The 15,579-nt window shown below is 56.8% G+C and overlaps 1 protein-coding gene and 1 long non-coding RNA gene across 9 annotated transcripts in view, besides 3 other annotated features; both read left to right on the top strand.

The window, feature by feature from the left end:
* Nucleotides 1-2,749, top strand: part of EIPR1 (EARP complex and GARP complex interacting protein 1) — a 188,849-nt gene extending 186,100 nt beyond the window's left edge. For all 6 annotated transcript variants that reach the window (NM_001330531.3, NM_003310.5, NM_001330530.3 and 3 more), the window contains one exon: nucleotides 2,211-2,749. In NM_001330531.3, the coding sequence (NP_001317460.1) occupies nucleotides 2,211-2,385 (175 nt within the window). In that variant the 3' untranslated portion in view covers nucleotides 2,386-2,749. The remainder of the gene's footprint in view (nucleotides 1-2,210) is intronic.
* Nucleotides 2,750-4,350: 1,601 nt separating this feature from the next.
* The window catches only part of LOC107985840 (uncharacterized), a 57,332-nt gene continuing 46,103 nt past the window's right edge, over nucleotides 4,351-15,579 (top strand). For all 3 annotated transcript variants that reach the window (XR_001739257.1, XR_007086194.1, XR_001739258.2), the window contains exons 1-2: nucleotides 4,351-5,315; nucleotides 5,541-5,696. This is a non-coding gene — a long non-coding RNA (uncharacterized LOC107985840). The remainder of the gene's footprint in view (nucleotides 5,316-5,540; nucleotides 5,697-15,579) is intronic.
* Nucleotides 10,392-11,147: an enhancer, noted in NCBI's record as "H3K27ac-H3K4me1 hESC enhancer chr2:3184343-3185098 (GRCh37/hg19 assembly coordinates)". NCBI's record gives its function as "activates a minimal SCP1, AML or CMV promoter by ChIP-STARR-seq in naive and primed H9 embryonic stem cells {active_cell/tissue: H9 hESC(naive and primed)}" and the evidence as "EXISTENCE:reporter gene assay evidence [ECO:0000049][PMID:30033119]".
* Nucleotides 11,148-11,905: an enhancer, noted in NCBI's record as "H3K27ac-H3K4me1 hESC enhancer chr2:3183585-3184342 (GRCh37/hg19 assembly coordinates)". NCBI's record gives its function as "activates a minimal SCP1, AML or CMV promoter by ChIP-STARR-seq in primed H9 embryonic stem cells {active_cell/tissue: H9 hESC(primed)}" and the evidence as "EXISTENCE:reporter gene assay evidence [ECO:0000049][PMID:30033119]".
* Nucleotides 12,664-13,421: an enhancer, noted in NCBI's record as "H3K4me1 hESC enhancer chr2:3182069-3182826 (GRCh37/hg19 assembly coordinates)". NCBI's record gives its function as "activates a minimal SCP1, AML or CMV promoter by ChIP-STARR-seq in primed H9 embryonic stem cells {active_cell/tissue: H9 hESC(primed)}" and the evidence as "EXISTENCE:reporter gene assay evidence [ECO:0000049][PMID:30033119]".

Below are 15,579 nucleotides of genomic sequence, written 5' to 3'. Positions count from 1 at the left end.
TTGAGCAGTCCACCTTTAGAAGTGGCAGCCGCTTCCTGGGGGGTGACTAGATGCAATTCAGTTGCAACCGCAGAGATTCTTGCCCCAGGTTCCAGAGGAAGGAGGTTCTGGAATAAAACCTTGTGAAGTTGGACAGAGCCCTTAGATACGATGGGGTCTGTCACTCTGTTTTGGGATCCTTTGCACTGTTTTTTGTCTGAATTCTCCCCCTACCCACCTGAGCTTGGTCTAAAATTCCTCTGTGAGAAGACCTCTTTCTTCAGACCCTCTCTGCAGTGGCGATGGGACCATCTGATTGTCTCTGTCTTCGGACCCTCTCTGCAGTGGGGATGGGCCCATCTGATTGTCTCTGTCTTCAGACCCTCTCTGCAGTGGCGATGGGCCCATCTGATTGTCTCTGTCTTCGGACCCTCTCTGCAGTGGCGATGGGCCCATCTGATTGTCTCTGTCTTCAGACCCTCTCTGCAGTGGCGATGGGCCCATCTGATTGTCTCTGTCTTCAGACCCTCTCTGCAGTGGCGATGGGCCCATCTGATTGTCTCTGTCTTTGGACCCTTTCTGCAGTGGCGATGGGCCCATCTGTTTGTCTCTTGACTCTGTTGCCTTTGTTTTGTTTTTGAGACAAACAAAAACAAACAAAAAAGTCACCCAAGCTGGTGTGCAGTGGCACGATCATGGCTCACTGCAGCCTTGACCTCCTGGGCTCAGGTGATCCTCTCACCTCAGCCTCTCAAGTAGCTGAGACAACAGGCCCATGGCACCATGTCTGGCTAACTTTTTGTAGAGACAGAGTTTTGCCATGTTGCCCAAGCTGGTCTCAAACTCCTGAGCTCAAGTGATCTGCCCACTTCAGCCTCCCAAAGTGCTAGGATTACAGGCATGAGCCAGACTCTGTTGTTTTTCTGTTCAAACCTTAGAAACTCGGTCTGCCATAGAATAGTATTTAAGCACACGCACGGTAGCATCTGCCCAGTGGTCTCTCGGTGCCTGTGGGCCTGGCTCCCTTTACCGTCCTCTCTGCCAGTGGCCCAGGGAGTCTGCACTTCCTCACCATGTCTGTCCCTGTTAGGGGAGGAGCCTGATGGGCCCGTTGGTCGGAAGACTGCTGGCGTTGTCTTCTGGGCGGCAATGTCATGGGAGCAAGATAGGAAGGGAGGAGGTGATCGGGGCTACGCAGACTTCTTAGGACATCCCTCAGTCCTGATGTCCTGCTGCATTCAGGAAACCATGATTCCTCCTAAGGATTTGCACCTGGCATTTGTCCCACAACAGCAGTTGACCACTGGCAGGTCCACTTTGTGGGAAGCCAGCTTCCCAGAGACCATGCGAGTTCTGGAGGGTCCGTCTTGCTGGGGGGGTGAAGCATTTTCCTACAAAGAAATGCAAAAGCAGTTAGAATGCGGTACACAAATTATGTGGGAATTTTTTTGTGAAATGGGAAGTAAAGTGCCAGAGAAGCCTGTGTCCACCGGAAAGTGGCCGCTGTGAGCCGGGCAGGGCCCCCTCCCCATGCACGCTGTGCTGAGGAAGTGGTGCTTCTTGTGTGAGGATCCCCTGGTCAGGGCTCCCAGTGAGGGTAACTCACAGTCAAGGGAGGCGAGGTGGGAAACACCCTGGGGGAGGCCAGGCAGGTCACGCCTCTGCTGCTCCCACAGGGCCAGGGCGTCTTCCTCTTGGTGTCCTGGGGGATCCTCAGCCCAGCCCCACTCCCATCCTAGCAAGGCTCCTTGTGCCCCAGCCTCTGACTCCTACACAGCCAGGAGCTGGACCCGCTGCTTCCCAGGGTCCTTTCTGCTCAAGCAATAGGGGCGTTTACATCCTGTGTTACCCAGACACGGTGACTACTTCCCCCAGTCTTTCCCCTGAGCTAAAGGAAGCCCTTGGAAGACCTCCAACAAAATATCAACCCAGGCACCCGGGGGCCAAGGACAGAAGAAACCAAGACACCATGTGCCAATGTCGCCGATTTCCATAAACCTTTTGAGAAATGCCCACTCCTCACAGTGACAGTGAGGGTTTCTGGGCTTCTGCAGGGACCACCCCACCGTCCTCGGTGTGGGCTCCTCTAATTCTTCCCATCCCACAGCGGAGAAAGCTGAGGCCCCAGTACCTCCCGTGTCTCCCGATGTCAGCGCTCGCGTCCTCCCTGCCCCTCTCCTGCCCGCCCCGCCGGAGCTGCTGCGCTCACGTCTGCCTCTGTTGCATTGCAGGAGCAAGGAGCCCCTGCAGGACAACGTGATCGCCACCTACGAGGAGCACGAGGACAGCGTCTATGCCGTGGACTGGTCCTCGGCTGACCCGTGGCTGTTTGCCTCCCTGAGCTATGACGGGAGGCTCGTGATCAACAGGGTGCCCAGGGCCCTGAAGTACCACATCCTGCTATGACTCCCGGGCCTGGGTTATCCAGGTCCCATTGAGTGGTTTTCCTCTTGGCAGATTCTCAAACAGTCGCAGCTCTTTGGAGGTGACTCGTGTTCCAGGTGGATCCCTCTCTGGGAGAGCCGCTGTTCCCTTCCTGTAGCAGCAGCATTTATGAATGGGGTGAATGGGGCTATTGTCGACGGCACAGCTAATGCCCGAACCCAGCCCCTGTCGGCAGAGACAGAGCCCCACATTATTATGTGAATAACAATGTTTTCTGTTTTAAGGGTGTCAGGAGTTTCGCTTTTTAAAAAAATGTCTGTTCCTGCAATAGTAACTCTTCTTTCTCTTGAGAGTAAAAAATGAAATAAAATAAATCCACGCTGCACAGGTGCTCGGCTCATTCTTTCAGGAGCTCTGCCCTGTGACCCCATCTCCTGGGTCTTTGTCCATTTTCTCTTTCCTGACCCAGGGAAAATGCAGATGGACAGACGTGTGCTGTCTACGCCGCCCTAGCATGGAACTCCCGGGAGCCATGCTGGCTGCTGGTGGGCACCTGGCTCGCGCCCTGGGCTGAGCTGGTGTGATGCATTTTCACTGCTGTAGACGCAGGCTCTGCCCGCCCTGGGCCTCCCCTGGTCTCTGCAGCCCATCCTGTGCTGTGTCCTGCCCACCTTGTGAGCCGGGCAGGGCCTCCTCCCCACGCGCACGCACTGGTGGCCTTGGAGGTGCCGTCCTCCCTCACCTCGGAGCTTGGGGTTGGGCTCCCGCGTCTCAGTTGTCGGGGACCCCTCACAGGCTCCTACACTCATCAGTGCTTATCCTTAGGAATCCTCAAACACTGACCTCGCAGCCTCTGTTCGTGGTTCCTTTGGGTGTGCGGGGTCTGTTCTCTGTGTCTGGTGCGTGTTCCCACTGGAGAAGCCACCTGGGCCCTGGACTCTGGGCTCCATCTCCCTTAGGCCTCCACCTGGCCAGGTGTCCCCGCAGGGGCCACTTCTGCGCTCTGCTGCCCCGATCACCTCATCTGTAATGATGGGGAAGGATGGGCTGAGCTCACAGGCCCATCAGCTCTGGGGTTTGACGATTCTAGGACAAGTCTTGCCCGACCTGCAAAAAGGACACGTTCCTGCTGCAGCGCCCCCGCCAGTAGGTGTACCGTGCTGCTAAGGACGCTCTGCACCCAGAGGGCCGCATCCTGGATTTTCCTTTCATAGATGAGAGTTCACAGCGAAGTGGAGGCCATAGGGGGAGAGGTGAAAAGGTGGGGTCCTGGGCGAGGGGACAAGTATGGGGGGGTCCACAGGTGGGGGCTGTAGGGAGGGGTGCACAGCTGGGTGGGGCTGTTGGGAGAGGCAAGCAGGTGAGTGGGGAGTGGGGAGGGGAACGCAGGTCGGGGGGCCGTGGGAAGAGGCACGCTGGTTGGGGGGCCGTGGGGAGGGGTGCACAGGTGGGTGAGGAGTGGGGAGGGGAATGCAGGTGGGTGGGGCTGTGGGGAGGGGCACGCTGGTTGGGGGGCCGTGGGGAGGGGTGCATAGGTGGGTGAGGAGTGGGGAGGGGAATGCAGGTGGGTGGGGCTGTGGGGAGGGGCACGCTGGTGGGGAGGCCGTGGGGAGGGGTGCGCAGGTGGGGAGTCAGGAGGGGCGTGCAGGTGGGGGGGCCATGGGGAGAGGCATGCTGGTTGGGGGGCCATGGGGAGGGGTGCACAGGTGGATGAGGAGTGGGGAGGGGAATGCAGGTGGGTGGGGCCGTGGGGAGAGGCACGCTGGTGGGGAGGCCATGGGGAGGGGCACGCTGGTGGGTGGGGAGTGGGGAGGGGCGCACTGGTGGGTGGGGGGTGGGGAGTGGGGAGGGGCACACAGGTGGGTGGGACCGTGGGGAGGGGCGTGCTGGTGGGGGGGGCATGGGGAGGGGCAAGCTGGTACGGGGGGCCTTGGGGAGGGGTGTGCTGGTGGGGAGTGGGGGTGGACAGAGACAGGTGTGTTGCAGACCCTCCAGCATTTCTGCTTCCAGGTAAAACCTGCACGTGTGAGGAATGTGTGGCATTGTAATGTCAGTCCTCCCTTCAGTTGCTGTCACTTGAAAGAAAATGTGTTTGTTTAACAAACATAAATTGAGTGCCTACTGTGTACCCACACTTCTAGATCCTGCTGTTGCTGCAGCCACAGCTGTGATTAGGGCAAGTCTCAGCTCCCCTGGAGTGAGTGCTCCTGTGGGCCATCAGGTGACATGGGGACAGATGCCACAGGGGAGTGTAGAGGAGGGGCCAGGGAGCGCTGTGGGAGCGAGGCTCTCTGAGAAGGCGATGCGTGAGCCAAGGCCCAGGGTTGGGGTGGGGTGGCACCTGGGTGAGTGGATCAGGTAGGGAGGCAGCTGGGCTGGCATGGGAATGAGGCAGGAGGCCCAGCCATGGGGAACTGGAGGTCCTGCCTTTTTGAGACGGAAGCCACTGAACAGGTGAGGACTGAAGTTTAGAGTTTGGATGGTTTACTGCCTTTGATTGGCACACAGCCGCCAGTGTGTGTGCGTTGTGTGTGTGCAATGGTGAGGCCACTGTGCACCCGGTGGCTGGCTTCTCATGAGTTTAACACACACTCACCACACCAGTCAGCCCTCACGTCTTTACCCTGGATCCTTTTCGAGAAAGGATCTGGAAAGTAAACATTTTAGACTTTGAGGGCCACAGTCACTGTCCATGTTCCTCTCTGTGGTTGTCCTGCCAGACACACACCATGAGTTTACAAAGACAGGCGGTGGATGGATGTGGCCTGGGGCCTGTTTGCCAATGCCAGCCCCAGAAAATAAAACTTATGTTTGCATAAATACCTATACACAGATATTTCTACCCAGGCATAATCACCAAGTGCTGGAAGCAACACAAGCGTCCTTCAATGGTGAACGGATGGCAGGGCCCCCAGAAGACCACAGGAAAGTCGTGTAGAGAAGACGTTCAGGTGAGCTCTGGGACGAGGAATCTTCAGAGGAGGCGAAGATTCCTCTGAATCCTCCTTCAGAGGAGGCGAAGATTCCTCTGAATCCTCCTTCAGAGGAGGCGAAGATTCCTCTGAATCCTCCTTCAGAGGAGTCTGGGGGTGGGAGGGCACAGGGCATGGGGTATCCAGGAGCCAAGCAAAGTGTTGGTTTCCGGGAGAAGGACTGAGGCACCCTCAATGCTGCAGATGGGGCGTCAGATGTGGGGGAGAACGAGCTGGAGATGGACACGGACATGGAGGTGTGGATGGCCCTGGGGAGGCCCCCTGGCAGCTGGTGGATGGCAGGAGCGGCGTGGACAGCAGGAGCAGCATGAACTGCAGGAGCGGCACGGGATAAGAGAGGTAGGAAGCTGGGAGCGGGAGGGGCTGTGTAAAGGAAACAACAGGAGGAGTAGCCCCCCAGGGCCTGTGACCACAAGGAGCTTTCTATTTCTTTCTTTTTTTTTTTTTTTATTGAGACGGAGTTTTGCTCTGTCGCCCAGGCTGGAGTGCAGTGGCGCAATTTTGGCTCACTGCAACCTCCGCCTCCCAGGTTCAAGCAATTCTCCTGCCTCAGCCTCCAGAGTAGCTGGGATTACAGGCATGCGCCACCACACCGGGCTAATTTTTGTAGAGATGGGGTTTCACCTTGTTGGCCAGGCTGGTCTCAAACTCCTGACCTCAGGTGATCTGCCCACCTCAGCCTCCCAAAAGTGCTGGGATTACAGACGTGAGCCACCGCGCCCGGCTGAGGATCTCTCTCTTTAAGAAGGAGAAATATCTGTGTTTCTGAATGCGGATAGACTAGTCCAGTGGAGAAGCACAGAGGGGGGAGAAGGGATATCCTGGAATAGGAAGGCGAGGGTGTGATCTGGTGAGCAACTCCAGATGAACAGGGTGAGAGGTTCCGTTAGAGAAAGCGAGTGTGCCCCAGGACAGCACCACGTGGGACCCAATGCCATCATCAGTGCGGCCATCGTCAGTGTGGCCATCGCCAGTGCGGCCATTGCCAGTGCGGCCATCATCAGTGTGGCCACGGTTTGGGCGTCATCAACAGTACTTCTATTTGTAAAATGCACACACATTCAAACACAGGACATAGTTTTATCTTAAGGACCCCTTGTAAACAGAGCAAGCATCCCCCTTCTGAGGATTTTGAAACAGGCTAGGGGCACCTTGCCCGGCTCTGTCCACCGACCGGGGCATAGGCCATGTCCCCTTCATGCAAGTCTCTCAGGCTCTGCCTCCAGCAATTCTTACCCATAGGCAGCCCAGTGACCTCTAGGTGACTGGTTGGACAGCTGGAACAGTTAGGATGCAGCCATGCAGAGACTTTGGGGTTCATCACCAGCATCCTTTGTTGCCCATGCCATTTTCAGAGCTAAGCCTGCATCCCTGTGCGTGGGGTGGTGGAGGGGCTGCACTGGACACCCCTGCGCGTGGGATGGTGGAGGGGCTGCACTGGACACCCCTGCGCGTGGTGTGGTGGAGGGGCTGCACTGGACACCCCTGCGCGTGGGGTGGTGGAGGGGCTGCACTGGACACCCCTGCGCGTGGGGTGGTGGAGGGGCTGCACTGGACACCCCTGCGCGTGGGGTGGTGGAGGGGCTGCACTGGACACCCCTGCGCGTGGGGTGGTGGAGGGGCTGCACTGGACACCCCTGCGCGTGGGGTGGTGGAGGGGCTGCACTGGACACCCCTGCGCGTGGGGTGGTGGAGGGGCTGCACTGGACACCCCTGCGCGTGGGGTGGTGGAGGGGCTGTGCTGGACAAGCCTCCTGTATAGATGGGGTTCTTCCCTCCTTTACACAGAAGCTGTGTTGAAGGTGATGGGATTACATGTGGACCTTCTTTACCAGGACCTGGGGGGCTGGGAATATGGGGAAAGAAGTCAGCCTCGACCCGTCCTCCTGGCCCCTCTGTGCAGTGTCAGGTGCTGTGCGGTGTCGCCTGTGGCTGTGGACGGCAGCGTCAGTGCCAGAAAAGATGAATGTCATCCATGGTGTGCCCTGGCCGGGGCCTGACTTACCTCGGCACGTGTCCAGCTGCACAAAGCAGGGTCATTAGTAACCCACTTTCCCCGCAGGCGCCTCTGCAGCATGGGCCTGGCAGGGCTAAACTGAGAATCCAGGAGCTGTGTGAGATTGGGAGCAATGGGAGATTTTGGATTTAACACTTTTCAGGAGCCCCTTCTGGTGTGGGCTGCCCAGTGAGTTGGCGCTGCTCTTAAATGGCCGGGCTGTGGCTCTCCATTCCTGCTCTCTGCCTGGCCGGGTGATGGGAGGGAGGGTTGGCGCTAATTGAGAATCATCTTCTGACACCAGCAGGCGAAGCCCTGCCAACCCACAGCAAGCATCACGCAGCATCCTCAGGGTGTCCTGGTGAAGCCCTGCCAACCCACAGCAAGCATCACGCAGCATCCTCAGGGTGTCCTGGAGCTGGAGCCGGAAGTCCCCCTCCCCACACCCGGGGCACATGCTGCATACTGCAGGGACACACTGTGTGGGCTGCACCTGCCCCATAATGTGTGTGGCTCGTTCAGAAGAGCTGTGGCTGCTTCCTCTGGGATGTGAAAAGCTGCGGTGTTGGGGGCAGGGTGTGAGAGCACTGGATGGGCTCCTAGGGGTGTCACCAATGACATGAGGACAGCCCTTGTTAGTGGGAACTCCAGAGGGCCAGCTTTAGTTCAACAACAAGGACCCCAGACAAAGGTCTTGGGGGACGGAGTTGGGAGGAGCAGGCCTTCAGCAGGGCGGGTGAGCCTGCTGGTGTTCTCCCTGAGACACTGTGCTAGGCCCTGCAAAGGCATCTCCTGTAGCCAGGGAGGCAGAGACTGAAGACACCAGAAATGGGGGGTGGGGGATCAGAGGAGGGAAGGAAGGGGTGAGGGACAGAAGGCAGAGACCAGGTCAAAGATTTGTGGGCCCCTGAGGACCTCAGGGCTAGAGAAAGTGGGTGCCAGGCAGGGGACAGTCAGGCTGGGTTGGATAGGTGGGTGGGTAGAAGGGTGGATGGACAGATTGGGTGGGTGAGTGGATAGTGGATGGGTGGGTACAGGTGGGTGGATGGGTTGATGGATGAATGGATGTGTGGATGGATTGGTGAATGGGTGGGTAGATGGGTGAGTGGGTGGATGGCGGGCGGGTGGGTGGGGGGTAGGTGATGAATAGTGGATGGGTGAGTGGATGGGTGGATGGACAGTTACGTGGATGGTGCATGGGTGGCTGGATGGGTGGGTGAATGAATAGTGGGTCAGTGGATGGGTGGGTAGATGGATAGGTAGGTGAGTGGGTGGATGGATGCATAGGTGGGTGGATGGATACCTGGGTGGGTGGATGGTGAGTGGATGAGGGTGAGGGGTGGGTGGGTAGGTGGATGGGTGTGTAGATGGATGGGTGGTTGGATGGGGTGAGTGGGTGGGTGGTGGTTGGATGGGGGTGGATAGGTGAGTGGGTGGCTGGATGGGTGGATGGATGATGGGTGGGTGAGTAGGTGGATGGATAGGTATGTAGGTGGGTGTGTGGTTGGATGGGGTAAGTGGGTGGGTGGTTGGAAGGGGATGGATGGGTGGGTGGGCAAGTGGATGGGACAGTGGTTCGTATCTTAAAACACTAGTAGGCGTCATTGGGTCTGGTAATCTTACCCCTAAAGGCTGAATGAGGAGATGCCGAGTTTGGAACATTTCTAGAATTGGGTCCTCACTTTCAGTAAATAACCCAAAGCTCTTAGTCTATCTCAAGATAAAGTGCTTGATGGAGAGACGAAAGGATAATTGAAATACTGCCTTGTATATTTGTATGAAATATGTGAAAAATGAAAGTTCTTAATTCCTTTGAGACATTGAAAGCCATAAGCTGGGTCATTTAAAAGCAAGATCCCCTAAATAGAGATGGATTAAAATGGAACTTCCAAAGGTATTCTGTGCTACCAGTGAATTCAATGTGACTATTTTGCAAATAGAAAGCAGTACATAGAAGGCCATTTCCTAAGAATCAAGAAAAATGGCTCCGTAACTGACTGCACCCCTCCGTTGACAGGTTTTGTCTTTTTGACTTCTCCTGATACTCACTTTTCTAATGTAAGATAACCTTAAAAACATGTCCCATGCACCAGTAGAGTGGCCGAGCTTCCAGAACAATGCAGGGGCTCGGAGCCTATCACAGATGCCCCAGCAGTTACACCGTCATGCGCTTTATGGTCTCAGGAAGTGACGATGAGGATTGTGATTGACTAGTGTTTACTGAGCCTTGCTGATTGGATTTCTGCATGGCTTATTGAAGAGGCACTAAAAATCACATAGGGAACAGCCTGCGAGTTTCTGGTTTGAAATGCTGCCTTATGTGTAATAGCAGTTAATGAGGGTTTATTAAATCAATCAATCAACTAACCATCAATCACGGTCCTCTGACCCAGCCTGGCTTTTCATGGACATCCCCGCATCTCTGTCATAGCTGACATTCTGATCAAACAGATGAGCGACCTTTCCTAACGACGCGTCAGATCACCTTTGTCTAGATTGGCTCTTCTTTGCAAATCCTTTGGAAGTCCTCCTCCACCTGGTGAAATTCTGCTCATTCTTGAAAGCCAGCTCCAGTGTCATAGCCTTGGGGCCTTTCCCTGTGTCTCCTCCTTCCCTTACTGTGTCCTGGAATCCAGCCCCCGGGCTGCCTGATGGAGGAAGGAGCCCCATTTCCTGGTTTACATGGGCTTCCATGTCAGTGCTGGAATACTGGAGAGCATCCCCGTGTCAGGAACGCTGGAATAGCGCTGAGCGTCCCTGTGTTGGGAACGCTGGAATAGCGGTGAGCGTTACTGAGAAGTGAGTGTTCCCGTGTCGGGAACACTGGAATACTAGTGAGTGTTCCCATGTCGGCGCTTGAATAGTGAGCGTCCCCATATCGGTGCCCCTTGTCCGTGCTGGAATAGTGACCGTCACTGTGTCAGTGACCCGTGTCCGTGCTGGAATAGTGAGCATCCCTGTGTCAGTGCTGGAATAGTGTGCATTCCCCTGTCAGTGCCCCTTGTCGGTGCTGGAATAGTAAACGTCCCCGTGTTGGTGCTGGAAGGGTGAACGTCCCCGTGTCGGTGCTGGAATAGTGAACGTCCCCGTATTAGCGCTGGAATAGTGAGCATCCCTGTATCGGTGCTGCAATAGTGAGCGTCCTCATGTTGGTGCCCCGTATCGGTGCTGGAACAGTGAGCGTCCCCGTGTCGGTGCCCCGTGTCGGTGCTGGAATAGTGAGCGTCCCCGTGTCGGTGCTGGAATAGTGAGCGTCCCCGTGTCGGTGCCCCGTGTCGGTGCTGGAATAGTGAGTGTCCCCGTGTCGGTGCTGGAATAGTGAGCGACCCCGTGTCGGTGCTGGAATAGTGAGCGTCCCCATGTCGGTGCCCCGTGTCGGTGCTGGAATAGTGAGCGTCCCCATGTCGGTGCCCCTTGTCGGTGCTGCAATAGTGAGCGTCCCCGTGTCGGTGCTGGTAGAGTGGGCGTCCCCGTATCGGTGCCCCTTGTCAGTGCTGGAATAGTGAGCATCCCCATGTCGGTGCCCCTTGTCGGTGCTGGAATAGTGAGCGTCCCCGTGTCGGTGCTGGAATAGTGATCGTCCCCGTGTCGGTGCTGAAATAGTGAACGTCCCCGTGTCGGTGCTGGAATAGTGATCGTCCCCGTGTCGGTGCTGAAATAGTGAACGTCCCCGTGTCGGTGCTGGAATAGTGAGTGTCCCCGTGTCGGTGCCCCTTGTCGGTGCTGGAATAGTGAGCGTCCCCGTGTCGGTGCCCCTTGTCGGTGCTGAAATAGCGAGCGTCCCCACGTCGGTGCTGGAATAGTGAGCATCCCCGTGTCGGTGCTGGAATAGTGAGCGTCCCCATGTCGGTGCTGGAATTGTGAACATCCCCGTGTTGGTGCCCCTTGTCGGTGCTGCAATAGTGAGCGTCCCCACGTCGGTGCTGGAATAGTGAGCGTCCCCGTGTCGGTGCTGGAATAGTGAGCGAGTGGGCTCACTCCTTCTCCCACCCTGTGCGTGGTCACAAGAATAATTTTCCTTAAAATCAAAACGTGTGGAGATGCTTGCCCACCCTTGGCTCCTGCACTTGCAGGTCAAGTCCCACCTGTTGCAGCCTTGTGTTGAGGCACTCAACAGACCCTGCTTCCTGGGTGTTTCCCTTCACACTCCTCCAGATCAGGCACCCATGGCCTGTCTCCGGGCTCCAGACACTCCCTGCAGCTTCCACTTCTCACATCTTACGAGGCTTGCCCCGACTTATATTGAGTTGACGTGGAAAGGAATTGATAAATGTGCAGTCCTAGACCTGACTGTGATCCGGAGCAATCCAATACATGTTTATTGAGCTGCTACTTTGTCCAGCATGGTCCTCCGGGGAAGGAGGAAGAGACAGGGAGGGCGTGGTCCACGGGGTGCATCTCTGGGAGCTCCCTCCCTGCGGTCTCTGCCTCCTACCTGAAAGCCCACAGGGCTGGGCTGGGAGTGTGAGGCGGCCCCATGAAGGGGCTGATTTCTGGTGAGGGGGACACACGGGCTAATCCCAGCCAAGGGGCCGTGGCGGCTCCGTGCCCCCTGTGTTGGGAAGGGCAGGAGCCCAATCCCTCAGTGTAGGTCAGACTCTGTAGGCTGCTCTGAGAAGGGTGGAGGTGGAAAGGGAGAGCAGGAAGGGGCAGTGCAGGGGTGGCCCCAGGCCCCAGTTAGGCAGCCCCCAGGGCATCGGGCATCAGCCCCAGAGCTTCAAGCTTGGTGTAAGTTGGTCGTCTTCACCTATTTCTATAAATTCATTAAGAGGAAAGCGTAACGATGTCTTTCTGAATGATGGACACTTTGCAGATTACAAAGGGTTTTCGAGAACGCTTTGCTTTTGATAGTAGCATCGAATACAATTCCTGCAGATACAGGAGCGCAAGTTTGGCAGGTGGCGCCCTCCTGAGGCCTCACGGCTCCCTGTGGGTTCGGGTTCGCCTCTTCCCTCCCTCGTTCCTGAGTCGGTTTCTGGGCTCTTCCACTGCATAGACGTCCCTGAAGTGGCCACCTGGCTGCCAGGGCCCCTGTCCCGCCTTCAGCAGGGAGCGTGTTCCAGCTCCAGCTGTTGTCAACAGGGCCCACGAGATCATGGCCCAGTGTCTGCCCACCCAGCTACCTGCGTTGGGCAGTAGCTGGCTGTGCAGTAAGCAGCTCTCACCCTCTCTCTGTGGGCACTGTACTACGGGCACAGCACCCACCCACCCACTCAGTCCCTCCATGCCAGATGGGAGGTCTGGGGAGCCCCTCCCACAAACATGTACCCTGCCTAGAGGCCTGGGACGGGGAGGAAACGCATTGCCAATAACCTCTAAGCTCACAGAGGCCAGCCTGGGACAGAAACATGCAGCTCAGTATGGGGCATCTGCCAGCACAAGTGGGCGGTGAAGAGAGGATGGCTCCCCTGAATCCTGGAGGGGTGGGGGCGCCAGCCAGGCAGGGAGCTGGGTGGGCACGGGAGGGCACGGGTGTCTGAGTGGTGGGACTGCAACAGCAAGAATCTGGCCTGGATTTTAGGCTGTGCTGGGCCTGCACGTGGAGGAAGAGCCGGCCCTGCCGGCTCTGAGGCTGCCTCTGCCCCTAGCAAGGGTAAGGGAGACTCTCAGGGCAGCCTACCAGTGGCCCTGGGGCCATCCTTAGCTTCCCAGGAATGGGTGGCCACAGAACCCTGAGCTGCTCCCACCTGGCAGCAGGAGAGGGTGGGGAATGAGGGCCAGTGGTGTGCAGCAGGCCTGGTCAGGGAGCAGCCCTCAAGGGTGCTACTGGTAGGGTCCACCTGCCTCCCAGTGGTCTTTGAGATGCACCTCTGCAGGCTTCTCCTCAACACTCCTTATCCAGCATGTCAGCCCCACAAAGGAAGGCCTGGGGACCTCTGTCCATTGCTGGGTCCTCAGGGCTTGGCACAGTGCCCTGCACAGAGTCGAAGTGCGGTCACACTTGCTGATGAACCAGCCTGGCCAACCCCCTGGAGCCGCATGGTTCAGGGCTCACAGCTGGGGGCCCTCCAGCGGCGCCATCACATGACAGACCTCAGACTGCTGTGTGCCCTCCCACCCTCCTGATGTGGCACCCATGGACCAGCGGGGTCTTCAGGCAGCCTATGCCCAAGGGGGCTCACCCGGCCCCACAGGCCTTTCCACTGGGCAGCTTCCTTTTCTGCTTTTTTTTTTTTTTTTTTTTTTTGGAATAAGAAGCAGGGTCTTTATCATCATCACCAGTAACAGACTCTAAACCTAGAGGAAAGCATTCAAGAGGTTTTCCTGCTCAGCTGCTGGTTTATTTTAAACTGTCGGAGTTGATAGCCCAATCCACTTTTTGATGTAACTATGATGGTTTTAGAAGATTTAGACATGATTTTTTTTACAGCGTGAAAAAGAAAAATAGAACTGAATATATGATAATGATGAATCCTTCGACTTTTGTGTCTGCAATGGCTTCTAGGCATGAGTTACTGCATAATAATTCATGCCCTGTTGTGTCTTACTGCTTAATAAGCGTGTGGAAAATGGTGATGTTGGAATTGCCTTTCTGTTGTCATTTTGGTGCTGCTGAAATTGTGCTTGTGTGGTAGTTGAGGGGAGAGCTAAGGGCCCTGACTGATGAAGCCATCAAGGGCACCCTCAGGAGAAGCCATTCACAGGCCACCTACCAGAGGCCGGGAAAAATGAAAAGATCTGTCGGCATCAACTTCTCCCCCGAGAAACCACGGGATTTCCTACTAATACGGCCGCCAGCTTCTCTCTCTTCAGGTATCTCAGCCACAGAGACGCTGATTCAGTCCTGGACACGAGTCTGAAGTTGACATTGCATCTTAGGTGGAAACAGCCATTTGCATTTGCGTGGGTGTGGATTTGCTTGCACCCGAGGCCTCCATCACAGGGCATATGGCTCGTGACGTCCAGCTCAAAAATGGCAGGGAATCCTTAGGGCCGCTGGTCCCATGTGGCGGGCCCTGGTGCCTTCCTTTATCATAGTTTCGGGCCACGACTCACCTTCTCACTAGACCGTGAGCTCGTGGGGCTCAGACCCCAAATGCTCTCACCTCAGAACCCACCAGCAAAGGCCTGTGGTTGAGCCAGTCACTGTGAGCCAGAGTGGGATCAAAGCAGGTGTGCAAGGAGTGTCCGCGTTAGTAGCGCAGTCTGCACAGTTTCACTAGTGGGGAATCTTTATTCTGAGAAGTTAATCCAATATGTGTTTTCTAAGCAGCTCAGGGCAAGGACCGTGGTCCAGGTGTTTCTCCCACCACAGTGACGCCTCTGATGCGCACTCGGGCATCGCGAGAATGCTTCGCGAACACGCGCACCCGGCCACTGACCCGTCGCACAGCGAGCCCCAGTCTACGCTGCAGGAAAATGGCACTTGGGGAGGGAAGAAGCCCCGTGGCCAGGAGCAGCCTGGGCCATGTGTGTTACACGCAGCAATAGACGGGTGCTCCCGCCCCTCTCTCTGTCCTCCACTTTCCGGCCAGGAGACGTGGGTCGAGTCCCTTCTCCCCTCTGGGCCTTCCTGTGCAGCTCAGGGAGGCTGACCTGTGACTGCCAGGCTCTTTCAGGTCTGGGCAGTTCCTGTGCCCCAGGGCCAGGCATTCAGGCCCATCAGGCCCTGTCCTCTTCCCAGGGCAGAGCCAGTTCTGTCTGCAGGCTCCCTGGGAAGAGCGCTGGGAGTCAGGGTTAGTGAGGACAGGGCACAAGCTGAACCCTGAGGGCCGCTGGAGGCCACAGAGTCCTGTCCACACCGTGACTGTGACCAGGGCCCATCCACGGATTTCCTTTGTTCTGGTGGGCAGGCCACAGAAACTGGCTCTGGCAGCCAGCGGAGCTGCAGAGTGATCAGGCGACTGCTATCGAAGGCGGTTCCGCTGCCACCACTGCCCTGGGGACCCTCTCAAGGCCTGGGGACCCCTCAGCCTGCATGGGAGGCTGGCTCACTGGTGCGGCCAAAAGCGACCTTGTTTTGTCTTTAGCCGGCTGCTTGTGCTCATGTATTTATACACAGGAGAAAGTTCAGTTGGCTGCGGGAGAAGTTCATTTTGTTTAATTTTTAATCAGAGACCACTGCAGAGTGGCACTCGACAAATTCTAGTGCAGAGGATGGCTCATTGCATGGGGCTCCTAAGCTCACCGACAGAGCCCTGGGCCGCCGCCTGACCCTCCCAGCTGGAGTCAGGCCAGACTCCAGCGACAATTCCGGCATGCTCCACACAGCCCGCCTCCTGCTTC

This window comes from Homo sapiens, chromosome 2 (assembly GCF_000001405.40).
Source record: "Homo sapiens chromosome 2, GRCh38.p14 Primary Assembly".
NCBI lineage: Eukaryota > Metazoa > Chordata > Mammalia > Primates > Hominidae > Homo > Homo sapiens.
Note: the sequence above shows the minus strand (reverse complement) of the source record. Positions and strands in the feature narration are given on the sequence as shown.